The 13,443-nt window shown below is 36.5% G+C and overlaps 1 pseudogene, besides 1 other annotated feature; it reads left to right on the top strand.

Annotated features, from left to right (window-relative positions):
* Positions 3,976-4,167: a silencer, noted in NCBI's record as "fragment chr5:28216768-28216959 (GRCh37/hg19 assembly coordinates)". NCBI's record gives its function as "represses an EF-1alpha promoter that drives an FKBP-Casp9 reporter gene in an ReSE screen in phorbol 12-myristate 13-acetate-treated (for megakaryocytic differentiation) K562 erythroleukemia cells {active_cell/tissue: K562(+PMA)}" and the evidence as "EXISTENCE:reporter gene assay evidence [ECO:0000049][PMID:32094911]".
* LOC100533667 (T-box transcription factor T pseudogene) lies at positions 6,299-7,459 on the top strand (annotated as a pseudogene).

Genomic DNA, 13,443 nt, shown 5'->3' with positions numbered 1-13,443 from the left:
GAATTTAATGAAAACAGGTTATTGCTTCAATAACCTTTTTCAATATCTATTAATGTAGTCCTGCATGTCTTTGTAGAAAGATGAAGTAGAAATAAAATAATACTGAGTATCAATATTTTTTCATTGTAGCTGAATACTTGGGAAAGACTAAACATATGTACCATAAGTATCAATATCTTGAAAACAAGTTAGTGAAAAAATAACCTGTTTTCATTAAATTCAAGGTATTGATACTTATAGCTTGTATGTGCTTGTCTTGTCCAAGTTTTCAGCTACAATGAAAAAATATTTATTGATACCTAGTATTATTTTATTTCTACTATGCCTTTACATAAAAAATGCAGAAATACATAAACAGATATTGAAAACAAACATAATTCAGAAGAGGAGGAAAAGAATTTAAAGCAGAAGCAAGTCACAAAACACAGTAATATTTCAAACATATTAGGGTTGATAAATGACTCAGGTAGATGACCTAACAATGCAAAATCACTAAATATTTTATGTTTGAGTGAAAGCTGTGCCTGAATAAATCAAATGCAGTTGAAGTTTTGAAACTTTAATATTCTATTCAAATAATTCAAAATTTGGGGGGCACCTATTAGTATGCAAGGCAATGTGTTAAGCCATGGGAATGTGAATATTAACAATGAAGAATGCCTGTGCTTACGAGGGGATTGGTACAGCTGCTATAGTGAGCTATTGAGATAATTACTAAAAAGAAGAAGAAAAACATGGTATCAAGAGAGGTATTCATTCTGAGAAAGGGATAAGAGCTGTCATTTTACTTAGATCTTAAGGATAATGCACAGTGTTCAAATAGAAAAGAGAAAGAACGGGCAGAATCCAGGCAAAGAATTTGAATGTTCTAAGGTGTGGATACTTGGAAGAACTTGGTGTGTTTAGAAAACTGGAAACTGATGATAAGATGGGGCCTGGTTTGACCATCAGATGAGGAAGCTGTGATTTAACTGACACTTAAGGTCCACTTAAAAGGCCAAGATTAGGGTAGTAGACTTGGTAAGATGTAGCCCAGTATAGGTTTTATGAAACTCATGTCTGCATGCAATTTTGAAACATAGATGCTGAGTAAGTGTTTTCTGAGGTGAAGTAAATGGAAGTGAATCAAATTATACAACTGTAAATGTCTAATCATGGAACATACATAATAATATCTACATTTTACAAATCTAACTGTTAAGTCAATCTGAAGAACAAGAGTAACAGATTGGATGTGGCAAAACAAATTGAACCCTACTCATTTGGCCCAGAGAGACTAGAGAGGACAAGAAACAAACTGAGAAGGTGGGAATCAAGTGAATATATATTTGAGAAATAAATATTGAACTTTTCTAATATAAATTTTATCAGTACTTAGTACTTAGTAGTAGGACTAAGCATAAATAAAAATGATAAGAATGAATACAATATGTATATAAAATGATACCAAATTATTCTGTTGTTTTAACTTTTTATCAAAAGTTGAAAGATAAATACAGAAAGTGCACAAAACTCTATTTACACTGTGTAATATGAAATTGTATATCATCTAGTTTCAACAGTAATGCTTTCTAAATGTAACATTTCATTTTTCTGAATTTTATACAGTAATCCAGGCATAATGCCACAATGCCATTTTTGTACTCATATAAAAACTCCAATAATTCTTTCAAAGCACATTTCTAATCAAATTTCTCCAGTTGTCTAAAATTATATTTTTACAATATTAAAATTTGAATCAGGATTATAAAAGTTCTACTCACTGTATTTTTTTTTTGTTGTTGTTATTCTCTTAGGTTTTATTTAAGTTTCTTTTAACATACTTTGGACCCATGCATTTTGCTTGTTGAAGAAATTAGTTGCTTTTTTCTACAGATTACTTATTTTCTGGGTTTACCTGGCCGGTTTCTCTTGTTGCATGTTTAACTTCTCTTCTCACCCTCCCCCATATTTACTGTAAATTTAACATTTCAGGTAAATTCAGCTTTAATTTTATTCTGACAGCTATATGTCATTGGAATGCTGAAACATTTTGTATTGCATCATGCTAGGAGTCACATGATATTTTTACACTACCAATGCTAAGACTGATTAGTGATTGGTGAGTTTGGGTTGTATACAACTAATTCTTTTTATTGTAATCTTTCTTATTGATTCTATATTTTATGTTCTTTCCATCCATTGGTGACCATTTCCTAGGTAACTTTTTCTTTGGAATTACAAATTTATATTTTCATTTTTTTCTGATTTATTTAATGAATTTCTTATCTGGAATTCTTATATAAAGAAGAACATTACCTGTTACACTATGGCTATTTGATTTCTGTAAGAAAGAGTTTAAATCAGGAACATATACTAAATGCTAAATTCTTTCACTTTATTTGTCAACATCAATCTTATCAACATTTTCAATAATGTTTTGCTCTCTTTCTTTTCATAATTTTTAAATATCTTATAAATGCAATACTTTTCAGATATTCAAATATTTTATAATAAATTTTAGCCATTCTTTTTTTTTTTTTCCCCGAGATGGAGTCACGATCTGTCACCTAGGCTGGAGTGCAGTGACATGATCTTGGCTCACTGCAACCTCTGCCTCCCTAGTTCAAGCGATTCTCCTGCCTCAGCCTCCCAAGTAGATGGGATTACAGATGTGCGCCACCATGCCCAGCTAATTTTTATTTTATTTTTTTTAGTAGAGATGGGGTTTCAACATGTTGGCTAGGCTGGTCTCAAACTCTTGACCTCGTGATCCACCTGCCTCAGTCTCCCAAAGTGCTGAGATTACAGGCATGAGCAACCGCGCTCAGCCCTAATCATTCTTTTTGAAGCTCAAAAAATCTCATCTTAGACCTAAAATCCTTCAGGCTGGCACCTGTGTCTATCTGATCAGCCCCCATCATGTTTATAGCTTTTTATCTCTGGCACTACAAAGCAGCCTAGGTAATTTCCTGCTTCTACATAGAATCACTTCCAGGCACCCTAGATTTCTTTTCTTGATGGTACTTAGACACCAATATCTTGTTTATAAGGAGTGTTCATTGCTATTATGTTGTTACTGCTTCCAGACTTTTTCAATGGAGAGAGCTAGGATATACTAACTTTAAAGAGGAAAATAATAAACCCACTTAATATGTATATTATACCTACTTTAAATTGAAAATATATCTACTTTAAACTGAAAAGTGCAGTTTTGTTATTTTTTTTAATTTTCATAATTGTACCTTTTAAAAATATTGAAACATTTTAGATATTAAAAACAGTGATGGACTGGACTATTTCAATTACCTTGCAATATATTTATAATCACTTCAAATTAGTAACAACAATATTATTATGATCAAAGAATAACTGAATGTAGTGTAAGATTATTTGTAGTTCTGTGTTTCTAATGTTAGGTACTTAAATAGATATTAGCAGCTGGGAGGGAATGAAAGGAGGAGAGCAGAAAGACTGTCACTAAGACAGCCCCTGGCCCACCAACATTCAGCCCTAAGACCTCCCTAACTTCACCCTAATGGATGGAGTTTGTGGTAAAGTCTGTGGCCAGCACATCCTGTAGAAAGAGAAACTAGGGCACAGGTGGAAATTCCCTAAAGTGGCACATGCCCAGTAATATGGAACTGTGTCCTCAAGTTAACCCCAAGCTCATCATACCATCATTATTATAAAATTTATATGTGATTTTACCCCCTCTCCAAGTGGGCTTTTCTGTATGAATTATGGGTAAGAACATGTGCAATTTAACTTTAGTTATATAACCACAAACTGCCGATCAAATGACATCATCCTGTCACTCCTCCCCACAAACCCAATACAAGCACCTTTAGCTCTGTAAAGAGGGGCTGACTTCACTTCGTAGAAGTCAGCTTGCTCTCCATCTGAGAGTGTATTACTGTGCTTCTATGCTTAAATAAACTTTGCTTTAAGCTTGCTTTTTTTTCTTTTTTTGGAGACAGAGTTTCACTCTTGTCCCCAAGGATGGGATGCAATGGTGCGATCTTGGCCTTGGCTTACTGCAACCTCTGCCTCTCGGGGTCAAGCAATTCTCCCGCCTCAGCCTTCCAAGTGTCTGGGATTACAGGCACCTGCCACCACGCCCAGCTAATTTTTGTATTTTTAGTGGAGATGGGGTTTTGCCTTGTTGGCCAGGCTAGTCACGAACTGCTGACCTCAGATGATCCGCCTGCCTCGGCCTCCCAAAGTGCTAGGATTACAGGCATGAGCCACCACATCCAGCCTGCAATTTCCTTTTATTACTTAACAATTTATACTCCAGAATATACAATATATAATCAACTACACAAAGATTCTCCCAATGCCTTTAACAGATACATAATGCAGTAGTACATAGTGCAAAGATTCTACAATTTACCCAACAAGAATTCTACTGTTGAATTTTTTTGGTTGATTCCAATTTTACACTAGTAAAAATATTGTTGCATTGAAAAATGTTTGCCTTATATTATTCCAAAGTAATGTCAGTTTACCTTTGGTCCCGGGAAAGACTCCATTAAGTGAGAATGTTGAGCCAAAGATAAAAGCATATGTAATAAACTCCATAGGAATAGTACCATTTAAATACAATAATGTCTTTTTCCCTTTAGTCTATTTTCCCTCTTAGTCTGGGGTGTGTTATCAAATTTTTCATATATTTCTAATCTTATGGGGGAAAAATGACTGCAGTTTTATTTGCATTTTTCTCATTATGATGCTTATAATATAATGGATATAATTTACAACAAACATTGATCCATCTAATATATGAAATCTGCATTCTTTAGCTCTGAGTGACCCAGGAAAGCATCTTGTGTTAATGGCATATGTAGTTATTTAATTATAATCAATTTAGTTAATCTTAAACAATCTATTTAACCCACTACTGCATTTTAAAGAGATCAACTAGGAAAAAGAAAAGGGAAAAAGAGGGGTAGAGTAATAAGAAGGAGGAGAAGAAGGAGGTGGGGGAGGGAAAACAGTAGGGAGGGAAGCAGGGAGGAAAAAAGGACAACAAAGTCCAAAGACAAGGAAGTGTGAGAATTAATGGGAAGGAACCGCTTAAATCAACGTAATTACTTTTGTTTGCTTGAAGCTTGTGCCACAGCTACTCTGTTATAAACCACTGCACTTACATGTTTTGCTCTTAATCATATTTCTCTTAGATGCTACTTGCAGATTAAACGTTTAAAAGTTCTGCCAGATTTCAGCAATAAACCATGCATTCATAGGCTCTGAATTAGATTGGTGTTTCTTGTTAATATATATTTGTCCATTTTATACTCCATAGGAGCTGCAGATTAATACTTTTATATTTTAACTTTGTTATCACATTTAACAAAGCACCAGAAGGGACATTACACAACTATTTACTAAGAAGTGAAGCCTGTGTTAGCTATTTGATCAAACATGTTTCATGCAAACTGCCTAGCTACATCAAAACAATTAGCAGGACCTGAAATTCAATCTGAGCTAGCATTCATATTCAAAGATTTGAATTCAGATAAGTTTAGAGACCAAATATTGTATTTTGATTTGTTTTGAAGTGGCCATCTGCCCATATTAAAAGCTACTACACCAGTTTGGCAGGAGGCTTAAAGAACTGAAATAACTACTTTGTGCAGGTCAGGTTCACAGACATACCCAGTGTTGCTTGGAAAACACAAAAAGTCATGTTCACAGCATATGGTACTTTACTAAGTTACCATCCAAAAGTGTCTATAACTTCTAAATTGTCAAAAATTGCAGCTCTCATAGGAAACCTTTAAAGAAGCCTTCCAAATATATATCAAACTTGAATTATCTGTGGCCAAGACACTTAAAAACAGTATAAAAATCTAACAAAATATTATAGAAAATTACAAGATATAATAATCCTGATGTATGTATAACTTATGTTCTGAGGCATTTGAAGTGCTTCTTTTGATTAAAAAAGGTCTTCCAAGAAATTAATGGCTGTATTTATAATTTTTATAAATATTTATGTGCTGGTCAATTGCCTAATTTGTAATTTTTCAAAACAAATGCCGTGCCACAAAGGACTTTAGTGGTGCCTTGCAGGCATTCGGGTGGAATAACCTTTACTGTCACTCCTCTGTCCTTACCCCCTCCCTACAAATCTCCACATTTATTCGCATCTCAGGTCTATTTCTGGGTCCTGTGGGCCTTTGAAATTCCTTGTCTTGGAAGAGTGGCCATTGAAAGGAGTTGATAGTAGTTCTTGGGTAGCGAATTGGAGTTATAGGGGACTGTGGTGACAGGTAGTCAAGAAGAGGAGCTCCCTTTGTGCACGGGGCTTAGAAAGAGCCTGCAGTACCTGGTGAACAACTGGCTGAGCTCTGTGGAGAGCAAGTTGCAGGCCAACAGTGAGGAGGGTAGCCCCAAGCATTGGCCCAGGAGCTACATGTGTTTGCACTTCCAGATGATGTCACCAAGAAGGACAGAAGAGTTTTTCCAGAGCTGAAGCTGAATCTGTCTGGCCTGGACAATAACACCATATATTCTTTCCTCCTGCACTTTGTGATCTAGCTGGCCACCGCTGGAAGTGTGTGGGCAGAGAGTGGGTGTCCTGGGGTAATCCCAAACTGCCAGCCCTAGCTCTATCTACATCCACTCTGACTCTCCAGACATCAAAGGGCACTTGTTTCCTTCATCAAAGTCAAACTCACGAATTAGCTCAACAGAGGGTGCCAGATCATGTTGAACTCCTTGCATAAATATGAACCTCAAATTCCCAAAGGAACATTTCCAGAGGGGATGATCACCAGCTACTTCATTCCCCAAATCCAGTGTACATCTGTGATGGCTTAACATAACGAGGAGGTTCCAGCTCCTACAGTTAGATACAATCAATTTGCAAAGACTTTTCTTTCTGCAGAGAAAAGCAGTATTCACAATGATATGATGGAAAAACCTGGAGACAAACAGCAATCTGAGTATTCTTAATGAAAATGGCTTATTCCTAAAACCAGTACCTTCTGTTCAACCTCCATCCTTGATTTGGAAGTCCTCTTTTACTTTCCTTCCCACATGGCTGTAAAAGACACTCTGTTCTGAGGAAACACTATTCCCCTTCCTACCCCAACTCTCCAACCTGTTCTGACAAGTCATTTGCATGTTATTCATGCTCCAATCCCATGACAATTGGTCCAGCCTTGGGATGTCTGCACAGATCAGGATGCTACTCATGAGTCAAAACAGGAGTTCATCAGTTCCTCAACCGCTGGTCTGCAAGTAGGGTACCAGCACACCAGGGTTTCAGAGAGCTGGGCTATCTAACTGGATGGGATTCCATTTTTTTTCCAAGGTCCACTGAACACTGGGCCCCTTTTATCCAGTCTCAGGTCCTTCCTTCCCAGAATCCCCACTATCTGAAGATCCTGTCATGACCACAGATAGTCTTGACAGCTAATATCATGCATTGGCACAAGCCCACCTTATAAACTCATGGATATCCCTGTCATCATCTTCTCTGAAAGTAAAGCCTTTTTTCAAAAGATACACTGACTTTTTTTGTGTGGGGCAACCAGTGTTGATTTGATCTACTAAGTAAAAAATGAGTCTTACAGGTCAAGGGGAAAAAACATATTAACATCATTTTAAAGTATGAAGAATATGTGTTCTGCTTTTACGAAAAAAAAATAACCCACTCCTTTCCCATTGTCAACAATAGCTGTGTTTATATACTACAGATGAATTTGAGTTTGCAAGGAAAATTCAGTTGGCCTAATTTGTTATTATTAATTCATTATAAACATATATTTGCTAGGGTCCAGAAATTTATTTTTTATTTCTAATAATAGCATACAGATGACTTGGACATATTAACATTTATAAACTCCACTGATCTTACTTTAGTGACATGAAATCACACTTAATTCTATTTCTTATAGCTTTAGAGTACTTTTCAGATAGTAATTGAGCTGTTAAGGATATAATCAATCCATTGTGTAGAACAACAGATTTTAGTTGAAATGGAAATTTCACCATTCAGTCCATTAGAATGAGTTTATTTTGAGCACATGTAATTGTATCTTGTATTGTTAAACTTATAACAGTTATATTTTTCTTCTGACAAAATAGCCAAAGACAATCAGCAAAACATTTTCTGCAAAATAAAAGCAATATGCAAAAAAAGACAAAAAACAAAAACAAAAAACAAACACAGTGTTAAAAGGTCTAGTGAGATAATTTAGTATTAGCAATTAGTGATTCGAATATAATCCACCCAAATTTGCCAAAGTTATATAGCTCTGCCATCATTCTAAAGCAAAAGGATATATTTTAGGATATAAATTTCTATTACATATATATTTTTTAAAAAGCCAATAAATGATTAAAATGACATTTTCTTATTAAGTATCCATTCATGTTGTTAAAGGCAACCCACAGCAGATTAAAATACAGTACATTTTCAAAAGTAATATATTATTTGTTAGAGCAGTTTATGTTAACAGAAAATTTGAGCAGAAAGAACAGAGCTCCCAATTACTTCCCTGTATTAGATATTTAGCACTTTTTGCCTGGATCACAAACATTTCAGATTCAGTAAACCTTTTTATTTGTTTATTTATTTATTTAGAGACAGAGTCTCACTTTGTTGCCTAGGCTGGAGTGCAGTGGTGCAATCTCGGCTCACGGCAACCTCCACCTCCTGGGTTCAAGCGATTCTCCTTCCTCAGCCTCTCAAGTATCTGGGATTACAGGTGACCACCATGCCCAGCTAATTTTTATATTTTTTTAGCAGAGACGGGGTCTCACCATATTGGCCAGGCTGGTCTCAAGCTCTTGACCTAAAGTGATCCGCCTGCCTCAGCCTCCCAAAGTACTGGGATTACAGGCATAAGCCACCGTGCCCAGCCCAGATTCCGTAAACTTTCAATTTAGGCAGGGTGCAGTGGCTCACGCCTCTAATGCCAGCACTTTGAGAGGCTGAGGCGGGCGGATCACAAGGTCAGGAGATCGAGACCATCCTGGCTAACACGGTGAAACCCCATCTCTACTAAAAAAAACACAAAAAAATTAGCCGAGCGTGGTGGCGTGCTCCTGAGTCCCAGCTACTCCGGAGTCTGAGGCAGCAGAATGGTGTGAACTCTGGAGATGGGAACTTGCAGTGAGCCAAGATCACGCCACTGCACTCCAGCCTGGGCTCTCAATTTAATCCATCCCTAGTTAACACTATCTGAGTCATCTTAAAATGAACATCATATTTCTTCTCATATCTGTATTAAATCATAGCCGAAATCTTAGGTAATATATCAGTCCATTAGTAAACATCCCCGGCTCTAGCAGGTAGATAAGGACCTCATTGTCTTGAAGCAGTGGTTCTCAAACATAAACACACATGAGAATCACAGGGAGAGTCTGTTAAAACATAGATTGCTGCTTTTGGGAGGCCGAGGTAGGAGGATCACTTGAGTCCAGGAGTTCAAGACCAGCTTAGGCAACTCAGCAAGACCTCGTCTCTACAAAAATAATAATTAAAAAATTACAAATTAAAAAAATTATTAAAAAAACCAGATTACTGATATAGTTTCCAAATCAGTGGATCTGGGTAGGTCTTGAGAGTTTGAATTTCTAATCATGTTCAAAGTGATGCCAATATTGCTGGTTCTAGAACTATACTGTGAAAACTATTTGCCTTATAACTTTCATATTTCTGATGAGAAGTTGGCTGTTCTATCTTTAAGTGTTCTAGTTTTTCCATCACTGTATTTTAAAATCTCAATATTATTATATATAACTTAATAAAATTGCTATATTTAGTTCTCAGATATAAAGTCTTCAAGGCCTCTTCTAAGAGGAAACATTTTCTGCGCCTTTTGCTCTACTTATTCAGACTGCATTTTTATCAGTTTTGGGCCAGTTTTTTTTTTTTGTTTGTTTGTTTTTGAGACGGAGTCTCGCTCTGTCACTAGGCTGGAGTGCAGTGGCACGATCTTGGCTCACTGCAACCTCCACCTCCCGGCTTCAAGCAATTCTCCTGCTTCAGCCTCCAGAGCAGCTGGGACACAAGCGCGCGGCACCACACCCAGCTAATTTTTGTATTTTTGGTAGAGACGAGGTTCACCCTGTTGGCCAGGATGGTCTCAATCTCCTGACCTCATGATCTGCTTACCTCAGCCTCCCAAAGTGCTGGGATTACAGGCGTGAGCCACCGCACCCAGCCTATTTTTTTTTTCTTGTTCATACTTCTTCCTGTCCTGTGCCCTTCCTTTTGTAGGTTTGTATCATTTTGTTATTGAATATTATTTGATCGGTATTTCTGGAGAAAGAGAAAATAAGCTTATTAAATCATCATTGCAAATAAACGTATCTTTATAATTTTTAAAATACCTACATCCATTAATATAATTGTATCATATATAAGAGAAAAATATGAGGATAGATGACTGCAAAATATTTTTTAGGGCCTGGTCAGAAGACAGAATTGACTAGCAGGAACAATCATAAAGACAAAAGGAAATTTAAAGTCTTCATTGTCATAGAAATCAAGAAAAAACAGAAGCAATGGTAAAATAGGAATGGGAAGAGGATTGAGTTGATTAGTGTCTTCATTTGGGCAAAATGTCATAATTTTAAAATGAAATTTTGTTAGCCCACATAACATGTTTTCCTATGGAAAAATTCCCTGTTGTTATGAAGGACAACGGGCAGGACTGTTATGCAGTACAAGAGGCAGAAGAAACTCAGGAGCTCACCCCGGGAGAACCAGACAAAGAGTTCACTGAGACCAAGGGCCTCCCCCTCATCTATCAAGAGGAACTTTCTTAGCTTTCCCCATGAGAAATGTGGCTTTACTTCCTGACAAAAGCAACTACAAAATCCTATGGGTCTCAAGCTATCTCTGGATGCTGGGAATCTGGTTTGCCCACATAATGCATACAGGCAAGTGGCATCCTAAATTGATACTTCTTGGCATCAAGCACTCTGCATATTCCAAATTGACAAGCTTTGAAGTTTGAACCTATAAAAGAAAAGAAAGACCAGGGGTGAGTCTTTCCAAGAAAAATCAGACTAACCATAGGAGCCCAGCAGCACGTTGGCTTTGTCATCCATCTCCGTGTGTGGCAAAGATGGAAGGAAAACCCATGCCTTCCTTTCTTTTGTTATCATGGTAAAATATACATAAAACGTAACAAATCAATTTAACCATTTTAAGTGCAAACAGTTCAGTGGCATTAAGTATATTCATATTGTTGTGCAATCATCACTATCATCCATCGATGGAACTTTTTCATCTTCCCAAATTGAAACTCCATACCCATTAAATAACGCACCAGTCCCCTTCACCCCAGCTTCTGTCTACTGTCTGTCTCTTTCTACTTTCTGTCTCTATGAATTTGACTACTGTTGTTACTGATGCAGGATTTTTGCTCCTTAACTCAGCTAAAACCCTGGGTCTTGTTCCACGACCAGGAAAAAATTAGGCACACAGACATGTTGAAAGGTGAGGAGAGCAGAATTTATTAAGAGAAATCTTTCAGCAAAGAAAAGGCATCCTGTCAACAGACTCCCACCTCACAGATTGAATACCAGGCCACCACATATGAGCTGAAGAGTCCAGGCTCCTCCTCACTGCACAAGGCACCAACTTCCCATGGCCCCACACCATTCTCCCAGTGTGCAAGCCGGCCCCAGTCTGTTGCCAGCATGTGCAGATAAGACCCTGGACAGGTTTCCTCCCGTGCACAAAAGCATCTGAAGAAAACACTTGTGGGGTGGGTCAGACATTTTCCGGGGACCCTCGCTCATCTGCCTCCTGCATCTAGCGGTACTTCATGTAAGTGGAATTAGACAATAGTTGCCCTTTTGTGACTGGCTGATTTCACATAGCCTAATGTCTTCAAGATTTATCCGTGCTGTGGCATTTTGCAGAATAATCTGCCTGTTAAGGCTGAATAATACATCATTGTATGTTTATGTCACATTTTGCCTATTTATTCCTGTGTCGATGGGCATTTGGGTTGCTTCCACCTTTTAGATATTTTGGATAATGCTTCTTTGAAGATGGATGTACAGATATCTGTTCAAACCTGTGCTTTCAATTCTAATTCTATAGGGTATATTCTCTAAAGTGGAATGGTTGGATTGTATGGTAATTCTTTGTTTAATATTTTGAAGAACTGCCATTCTCTTTTTCTTAGCAGCTACATCATTTTACATTGCCGCTGGCAATGCACAATGGCTTCAATTTCTGCACATCCTTACCAGTACTTGTTGGGATTGCTGGATTGAAAGGCAGTTCTATTTTTAGCTCTTTTAGAAATTGTTTTGGGTTGATTTATAATAGCCATTCTAATGGGCATGAAATGGAGTCTCATTGTGGTTTTGATTTGGCCTCATTTACTTTTATGCAGGCTGGTTTTCTATGTAAGTTTTCATTTCCCTGGGAAAGCCTGTTTCTTAAACCAGCTATGTAATATTGAGCCATTTGTCTTAAAGCTGGTGCATAACATCTAGCAACACAATAGGGAGCTGCTTTATATAACAGGTGGAGTCCTCGCAAAATCCACTTTTCATAGAGTGGTTGCCACATCAGAGTTTTTCTAGCCAGAAAAATGACAGATTTTTTAAACAGTTTGAAACCAATTTTTGTACAAATGAACTGATAAATTCATAAGTGATAAACAAGATATATATATATAATTTTTATAAGAGAGGATGAAAAGATGTCTTGTATTTTATTTCTAAGTAGCAACTGAACCTTACATTTGATCTTTCTGTCAATAAAATTTCTCATTAAATATTTAGCTGGATTAATTAATTGTCTGATACGTTTTGTCATAATGTCACTATATTAATTAGCTTATAACACCAAAATTTTGAGTAGACATGACATAGACCAAATAAGATCATTGAATTTTAAAATTTTAAAGCAATAGTTATTCTCTTTAAGAATATTAAAGATTAGAAGTATAAAGGATATATATATATGTATATATGTGTATATATGTGTATATGTGTATATATGTGTATATATATATGTGGTTCCATTGTTACTAAATCATCTTTTTTTACCTCTATAGTATTCATGTAAAATGCTTCAGTGTATCCCTTAATGTGGAAGAGAAAAATACAGCAAGCATTTTGTCCTAGTAAAAATAGTAAAACAGGGACAGTAAGGAAACAGCGATTGAACCACTAGAATCCAAACTTGTCTCATACACAAGTATCTATCAAAGAGAGTGGATAAAATCAGGCAGACATTACATGTCTTGAGTCATGCACCTTTGTTTTTAGAAACATCCAAGTGATGATTTACTTTTTAAATCTTTAAAACACAGTTGTCATAACATGAACAGTTTCACACTCCTGCAGAACGCTAAATTATGTTTGAAAGCGCAGGTAAAGAATGTGAGCATTCTTTTGTTTGTGTGTATAGGCAGTTGGTTTTATGAACAGAAAATTATCTGCTAAAAATTGTTCCACTTTAAACAGATATAT

Source organism: Homo sapiens, chromosome 5 (assembly GCF_000001405.40).
Source record: "Homo sapiens chromosome 5, GRCh38.p14 Primary Assembly".
In the NCBI taxonomy this organism is placed as follows: Eukaryota; Metazoa; Chordata; class Mammalia; order Primates; family Hominidae; genus Homo; species Homo sapiens.
The sequence above is the reverse complement of the archived record's forward strand: the minus strand, read 5'-3'. Positions and strand labels throughout refer to the sequence as shown.